The following is an 8132-nucleotide window of genomic DNA, read 5'->3' as shown; positions in this document are numbered from 1 at the left end:
AAAAAGTCAGGAAACAACAGGTGCTGGAGAGGATGTGGAGAAATAGGAACACTTTTACACTGTTGGTGGGAGTGTAAACTAGTTCAACCATTGTGGAAGTCAGTGTGGCGATTCCTCAGGGATCTAGAACTAGAAATACCATTTGACCCAGCCATCTCATTACTGGGTATATACCCAAATGACTATAAATCATGCTGCTATAAAGACACATGCACACGTATGTTTATTGCGGCATTATTCACAATAGCAAAGACTTGGAACCAACCCAAATGTCCAACGATGATAGACTGGATTAAGAAAATGTGGCACATATACACCATGGAATACTATGCAGCCATAAAAAATGATGAGTTCATGTCCTTTGTAGGGACATGGATGAAATTGGAAATCATCATTCTCAGTAAACTATCGCAAGAACAAAAAACCAAACACTGCATATTCACACTCATAGGTGGGAATTGAACAATGAGATCACATGGACACAGGAAGGGGAATATCACACTCTGGGGACTGTGGTGAGGTGGGGGGAGGGGGGAGGGATAGCATTGGGAGATATACCTAATGCTAGATGACGAGTTAGTGGGTGCAGCACACCAGCATGGCACATGTATACATACGTAACTAACCTGCACAATGTGCACATGTACCCTAAAACTTAAAGTATAATGAAAAAAAAAAAAAAAAAAAGAAAATCGAGACACAAAGTTGACTTATCCAAGGTAACTGATGTGGTTTGGATCTGTGTCCCCACCCAAATCTCATGTCAAATTGTAATCCCTAGTGTTGGAGGTTGGCCCTGATGGGAGGTGATTGGCTTATGGGGGTGGAGTTCTCATGAATAGGTTAGCACCATCCCCTCACTGCTGTTCTCAAGATAGTGAAAGAGTGAGTTATCACGACATCTGGTTGTTTTAAAAGTGTGTGTCACCCTCCCCCGGCCCCTTGCTCCTGCTCCACCATATAAGACACCTGGCTCCCCGTTGCCTGCCGCCATGATTGTAAGTTTCCTGAGGGCTCCCCAGAAGAAGATGCTGCCGTGCTTCCTGCACAACCTATGGAACTGTATGCCAACTTAGAAAGAAACCTCACTTCTTTGTAAATCACCCAGTCTCAGGTATGTCTTTATAGCCATGTGAGAATGGACTCATACAGTGACACAGCCAGTTAGTGGCAAAGCCAGAATTCCAATCCAGGGAGTCAGGTTCCTGGGCTTATGCTCTTAACTGCAATGCTGTATTAGTCATGTGAGAACAATGTTAGCATAAACATCAGTATGAACACCTGAACCCTTTCAACAATGACAGGTGGCCTTGCTGGTCTTATGGCTTCCGATGCATTCTGGCCTATATGGTCATCTTAACACTTTGAAAATGAACTTTCTGATTCTTCCATCCCAGGCAGAGCTGCCAGAATTACTGGCAAGGGTCAAGTTATTGAGCTCTCTCTTCTCAGACTGGGGAAAGTATTCGGGTATCCCCAACAACCATTCCTCCTCTTCGGAGACAAGATGGCACGGAGCGTGGGCTGCTGCTGTGGAGATGCGTGTTGCTATGACGGCGGCTCATGCCTCCTTCCTACCCTCTCCAAGGTGCTGACACAGGCAGTGGTTTCTATGGTAACAGGGCGAGTGGAGGGTCCATAAAGAAAGGACTCATGTGTTCTGACATGAGGGGAATTGAAATGAATCCTGGGCATTTGGAGGGCTACCCTGACATATGTCAAAGAGAAATGGTCTCATTACTGCAGGAATAGTCCCAGCAAGTAGACTGTTTGAGACAACAGAGTTTCTTAACTTATTCTCCCCCAAAAGTTTGCCTTTTGTCTTTTTTTTTTTTTGAAACAGGGCCTTGCTCTGTCACCCAAGTTGGAGTGCATTGGCGTGATCTTGGCTCACTGCAGCCTCGACCTCCTAGGCTCAGGTGATCCTTTCGCCTCAGCCTCCCAAGTAGCTGGGACTACAGGAGTACACCACCATGCCCAGCTAGTTATTTTCATATTTTTAGTAGAGATGGGGTTTCACCATGTTGCCCAAGCTGGTCTTGAATTCCTGGGCTCAAGCAATCTACTTGCCTTGGCCTCCCAAAGTGCTGGGATTACAGGCATGACCCACCACGCCCAGCCTGTCTTTTTTTTTTTTTTTATAAGGACAATTTAAGATTTCAAAAATTAAGATAAAGAGGCGGAAAACCATAGTGAGACTGAATTCTCAGGGGTGCGTAAGTCAATTACTATGCAGCCAATAGACCCACAAATAACTTTTGAATATGGCTCCAGGCATCTCAGAGAAGTTTCAAAGAATAAAGGTACTTATGTTCTGTCCTCTTTGAAGCTGCTCAATGCCCAGCCTCGGAAAACTCTTCCCGTTGACTGACAGCCTCTGCCCTGCAGGCTGTGGTGCCCCTTCAGAGCCCACGCCTTTCCTGCTGCCAGAAAGGCAGGGCAGATCCCCCCCCCCACCTCCCTGGGGCCATGGCTGGCTGCACCCTGGGATCCTGGCCCACATATCAACGCTTACTCACTTTGCCCTTTGCATGCTTTAAAAGTAACAGGAGGTGTGGGAGGAAAGCCAAGTTTGTGTCAACCCAGCATTCTAAGTGCAGGCTCAGCGGGGGAGACCATTTGGCGGTGGCAACTGTTTTGCATCTCCTCCTGGGTCGGCATGCAGGATAAGACATGGCACCAGCTAGCTAATGCTTATTTGAGTGCTTACTATGTGCTAGACACATTTCTAAGCAATTGACATCAATGGGCTCATTTAGTTTCCCAGACAACCTGATGAGATAGTGCTGTCCCCATTTTACAGATGAGGAAACAGAGAGTTTGAGTAACTTACTCAAAGCCTTACATTTAGGAAATAGAAGAGCTAGGATTCAAACCACACATCAAGGCCCTGGATTTGGGCAGTGGCCACGGGAAGAAATCAAACTAGTATACTCAAAGAAACCTGGGCAGAGAGTGAGCTTGCCACCGGAAGAGGTGGAAACTGTATTAAGACGCTTTCAGTGACAGAAATCCAGCTCAGGCATTCTTGAGGAACAACAGGAATGTGGGGATCCATAATTCGGAGATGCCCAAGGATATGTCCAGCCTCAAGCGCTGCTGAATCCAGGCCCTCAACCCCGCCCCCTGCCCCCCAAGCTAAGCCCAGCCTAGGTTCCTCCTATTGTTGCATTCTCACACTCTCCCCACGCAGTAGGAGCTTCAGAATGACATCCTACTTAGCTTAGCCACAGGAGAAAAAGAGGACCTATCTTCCATCATTCTAGCCAAGTCTTGGAGTTGATGATGTTGGCATGATTGGTCCAGTTTGGGTCCCATGTCAACTCCCAAGCCAACCACTTAGTTGATCCTGTATCTCATGGGCAAAACCTGGGTAATGTGCCCAGCTTTGGAGTAATGGTGGAAGGAAGCAAAGCATTGGTAAGCGGGGCTCCCAGATGGAAATCTGCTGTGAGCAGAGGAGGAAGAAATGGATCCTGGGTAGGCAAAATAAAGCAGCTCTCCTTAACCCTTGCTCTCCAGAATATACAGAGAAATGGTGAAGACCAGACAGTCATTAGCCAAATCCTGCACCTATCCCTTCTGCCCACTCAGAGGCCCGAGCCGTACAAGTCATAGAGATGAGCCAATCTCTCCTCTCTCCAAGGAGGGAGCAGCCAGCCAGTGGGAGCCCTGCATAGCTGGTCTCTGGCACGCACTTCCCCACCTTTGCACTTCACAGGACACCCTCCTCTTTTGATGCCTGCTCTCTTCCCCACCTCCACTGGCACTGCCTCATTACTTTTGCTTTCTGTGTCTCTCATCCACCTCTTTTCACATGCACCTCACTCAGGCTCTTTCATCAGAGATGCTTAAAATCTTTCATCTTTCTTTTTCTGCCCATCCTTCTCCTGGCGTTTTCCCACCGTCATTAAAAATCAAAGTCCTGATTTCTCGATTGCCTTCTGAGGGTTTTTTGTGGCCCCAGTCCAGGTACATAGGAGCCCAGTAGCTTTTCTTGATGGGTCTCTGAGCATTTTCAGGCATGTGCTTTAGGGAACTGAGATTCAGGGAGATTAAGCATGTCTCTTTTGTGGTTTTATTGCTGAGGAAGCACAGCAGCTGCGTGATCTGTAATACCAAGTTTGTCTCTCTCCGCTCATCCAACCAACACTTCCTCCAGGCTCGGGACAAGCCATCCCTCAGTGTGAATTTACTTCATCCCTCATTGATCCTTTGTTTCTTTGAACTTCCAGACAATTTTATAGTTACTTTGGCTCCTGGGACCTGTCTCCTGCTGTGGCTCCTAGGGTCCTAAAGTAATGGAAATTAAGGTACATTTATTTGGTTGGCAGAATCTTTGGAGATCTTATTGTCTACCGTTCCTCCACTGCAGGGTGATTAGAGTGTTCAGAAATAAAGCCGGCTCTGAAAGGCCACATGATAGGAGGGACTACTGGAGATTGAACATTCGTGCCTCACTCCTAAATTCATATGTTGGTGCAGAAACCCCAGGGTAATGGTGTTTGGAGGCAGGGCCTTTGGGAGGTTATTAGGTAATGATAAGTCCATGAGGGTGGTGCCCTCATGATGACATAAGTTTATCTTATAAGAAAAGAAGACACAAGAGCTCTCCCTTCACAAGTACACAGCAAGAAGGCTGCCATCTACAAGCCAGGAAGCAGGCCCTTGCCAAGCATGGGATGTGTCAGAACCTTGATCTTGGACTTCCCAGCCTCCAGAACTATAAGAAATAAATTCCTGTCCTTCCAGCCACTCTGTCTATTCTATTCTATTTTGTTATGGAAGCTTGGTATGGTTTGGCTCTGTGTCCTCACCCAAACATCATGTTGAATTTTAATCCCCACCTGTTGGAGAAGTGGCCTGATGGGAGGTGATTGAGTTATGGAGGAGGATTTCCCCCTTGCTGTTCTCCTGATAGAGTTCTCATGAGAACTGGTTGTTGGATAAGTGTACAGTGCATCCCCCTTCTCTCTCTCCCTCTCTCCTACCAGCATGTAAGACATGCCTTGCTTCTCCTTTGCCTTCTGCCATGATTGGAAGTTTCCTGAGACCTCCCCAGCCATGCAGAACTGTGAGTCAATTAAATCTCTTTTACTTATAAGTTACCCAGTTGCAGGTAGTTCTTTATAGCAAAGTGAAAACGAACGAATACAAAGCCCCAACAGACTAAGACACATACATTATCAGCAAGAGCCAATTTTCTTCCTTTGTGCAGAGAGCTCAGGCTGTGACCAAACTTCCAAATCTGAAATTCTTGATTTCATGTACCAGCTAAGGGAGAAGCAAATTCTTCACCTTTCGCATATGAGCTAGTCATTAGCACTGCTCACTAAAATTTTCCATTCTCCTGGTACGATGTAGGATTGTACTTCACTCCCCCCTTGCAGTTAGGGGTACACAGGTAGCACTCGTCAGCCAAGGGAATGTCTATGATCTCTTCTAGATGGAAGTTGTAAGAGCTGACACCAGCTGATGTGTGTGGCTGATCATGTTTTCTCTTTCTTTTATTAACTCTGCCACAAGATCCAGCTGCTCCATCAGCCTGGGTTCTGGGGTGAGGACACCTGAAGCAAAGCCCACCCCCACACACACCTCACCTCTGCTCTTCCAAGAGCCATGAATGCAATGCAACCCCCCCTCATTATAAACCACTGAGATTTGGAGTTGCTGTTATTGTATCATAACCCAGCATGTCCAGACCAATGGTCAAATCCTTTTAACAAGCAGGCCCTAAGTGGATTGAGGCCTGGAGGAACATTTGTTCAATGGAGACTTCTCAACTCTATCAGCCTAGAAGATTCTCTTCTCCTCTACCCACCAACTCTTCATATGGCTCAGTCTTTATCTTTTAGGTCTCTGCTCAGAAATCACCTTTTCCAGGGGACTTCCCTGATCAGAATGTGTTAAGAAGCTCCTCCTAATCACTTTATGCCTTCATCAGGTATAAATTTTAGGAATCTGGTGTAATCTTATTTATTTGCTTCCCTATTGTAATAAAAGCTCCTTGAGGCCAGATGCAGTTGCTCACCCCTGTAATCCTAACACTTTGGGAGGCCAAGGCAGGAGGATCACTTGAGTTTGAAACCAATCTGGGCAACACAATGAGACCCTGCCCCTGGTAAAAAAATAAAAATAAAAAATTAGCTGAGTGTGATGGCACATGCCCATAATCCCAGCTATTCAGGAGGTTGAGGTGGGAGGATGGCTTGAGCCCAGGAGTTCAAGCCTGCAGTGAGCTATGATTACACCACTGCACTCCAGCCTGGGTGACAGAACAACACCTTATCTCAAAAAATAAAATAAAATAAAATTTTAATTAATCCCCTTGAAAGCAGCGATGTCATCTTGTGCACCTCTATATCCTTAGTACTTAGAATGCTGCCTGGAAACTAGGACTTCAAAACAGTTTGTTGAATGAATGAGTAAGCGAATAGGAAAGAAGGCAACAAAGAAAATCCTTTATGTTGCTATGTTTCCATTCAGAGCCATTTTGGTTTGAGATGTAACATAGAAATGAATAGGGGTGGTAAATCTTCAAACTCCTCCCTTTTTCCAACTTGCTATTGATTCTATTTATTTTGATGTCAGACCTCAATATAATTAGACTGTTATGTGTCAATAGCAGTTAATTGCCCCAGTTCCTCCCATCATCCCTTCTGAAAGTCTACCCTGACCTCCAGTGGGCTCAGGATTTGCTTCACTGGGCAATTCCTAATCGCCATGGCCACAGCCTATGGCACTGTTTGGTGGTGAGTTATGTGTATATGGCCCTTAGACCTTCAGCCCTTTGAGGACAGGGACTGAATCTTTTAATCTACATTTTCAGGGGCTTCCTCAGCCCCGATCCTCTAGAAGGAGTTTTGGAGATGCTTGAGAGGGAGTGAGCTGTCTTTTGTTGTTTGTACCTATCTCCCTCCAGTCAGGGTTACTTTGCTTTCTTCTTGTCTTCCTTATGTCAAGCATGTAATAAACACTCAGTGACTGTTGCCTGCTTCCTTTTTCTTTGTCAGAGCCCACCATATTTGCCTTTCTCACTGCATGGAGAGGACAGAGCCTACAGCTTGCTCGTCACTCTATGAGTGGAGTCCCAGGGCTTCTTAGAGAAAAAATTAAGCTGAGGACAAGGGTTACCACATATGGTTAATATAGTGACCTTATTTCCAAAATTTCTAAATCCCACATTACAACACATTGTCTGATTAAAGATTTTGGTGTCATGTTCAAGTGCATGAAATAATTTAGGAGTTGAAGTTCAGATGCCCAATAAACATTAGCCAGACGAGTAAATGGAGGTATGGCAAGAACCAAGATGAGCTGCAAAATTAAAATTTTCTGTCTCATAAGCAAATGGCATCAAGAAAATCAATCATACCTGGAATGGAGTCTTTCATTTTCAAAAATAAAAATAAAAAAACTTCTGGAACATCAGAATATCCTTCAAATGAAATTGGAAGTAAACAGATTCTCTCCCTTGTTTTGAGATTTTGCTGTGAAGCCCTCAGAAATTCTCCTAAGAAGGCCAGAAAGATCATGGTCACTTGTTATATTACAGTCAAATGCTCAATGCACACAAATGGCATTCCATAGATGGGTGCCTGGGGTGCAGTAGCCATCCTGCATTAATGTTTTCCCCACAGCTGAGTGCCTTCATGCCCCACACAGTGCAGGCTTGTGGCCGCAGGAAGCTCTCTTGTCTGGCATACTCCCTGCTCTCACTGACCCAGCAAAGGAGAGAAAACAATAAATAGATACTGGTTACAAAGGTTGACATTCTATCAGAGAAGGATACAAGGTACAGTGAACGCCAAGAAGGACATGGTTAACTGCCTGATACAGTCAGGGACAGCTTCGAAAGGGATGCCTGAGCTGAGCCGTGAATGATGAACAGGAGAGGACATTCCGGGTAGTCCAGACATGACTGCAAAAACAGAGGAGTGTGGAACGGCATGGCGCCTTTTGGGGAATGGTAGGTGAGTGACTCAGCATTGCCAGGGAACAGGACATCTCCATGTTGCCATCAATCTGCTTTGCATCAGGTTTTTTTTGTTGTTGTTGCTGGTTGTTATTATTATTTTTTGACAGGATCTTGCTCTGTTGCCCAAGCTGGAGTGCAGTGGCACAAATATGAC

The 8132-nt window shown here is 45.5% G+C and overlaps 1 annotated feature.

The window, feature by feature from the left end:
• Positions 2461–2962: an enhancer, noted in NCBI's record as "H3K4me1 hESC enhancer chr16:48047095-48047596 (GRCh37/hg19 assembly coordinates)". NCBI's record gives its function as "activates a minimal SCP1, AML or CMV promoter by ChIP-STARR-seq in naive H9 embryonic stem cells {active_cell/tissue: H9 hESC(naive)}" and the evidence as "EXISTENCE:reporter gene assay evidence [ECO:0000049][PMID:30033119]".

Source organism: Homo sapiens, chromosome 16, assembly GCF_000001405.40.
Source record: "Homo sapiens chromosome 16, GRCh38.p14 Primary Assembly".
NCBI lineage: Eukaryota > Metazoa > Chordata > Mammalia > Primates > Hominidae > Homo > Homo sapiens.
The sequence above is the reverse complement of the archived record's forward strand: the minus strand, read 5'-3'. Positions and strand labels throughout refer to the sequence as shown.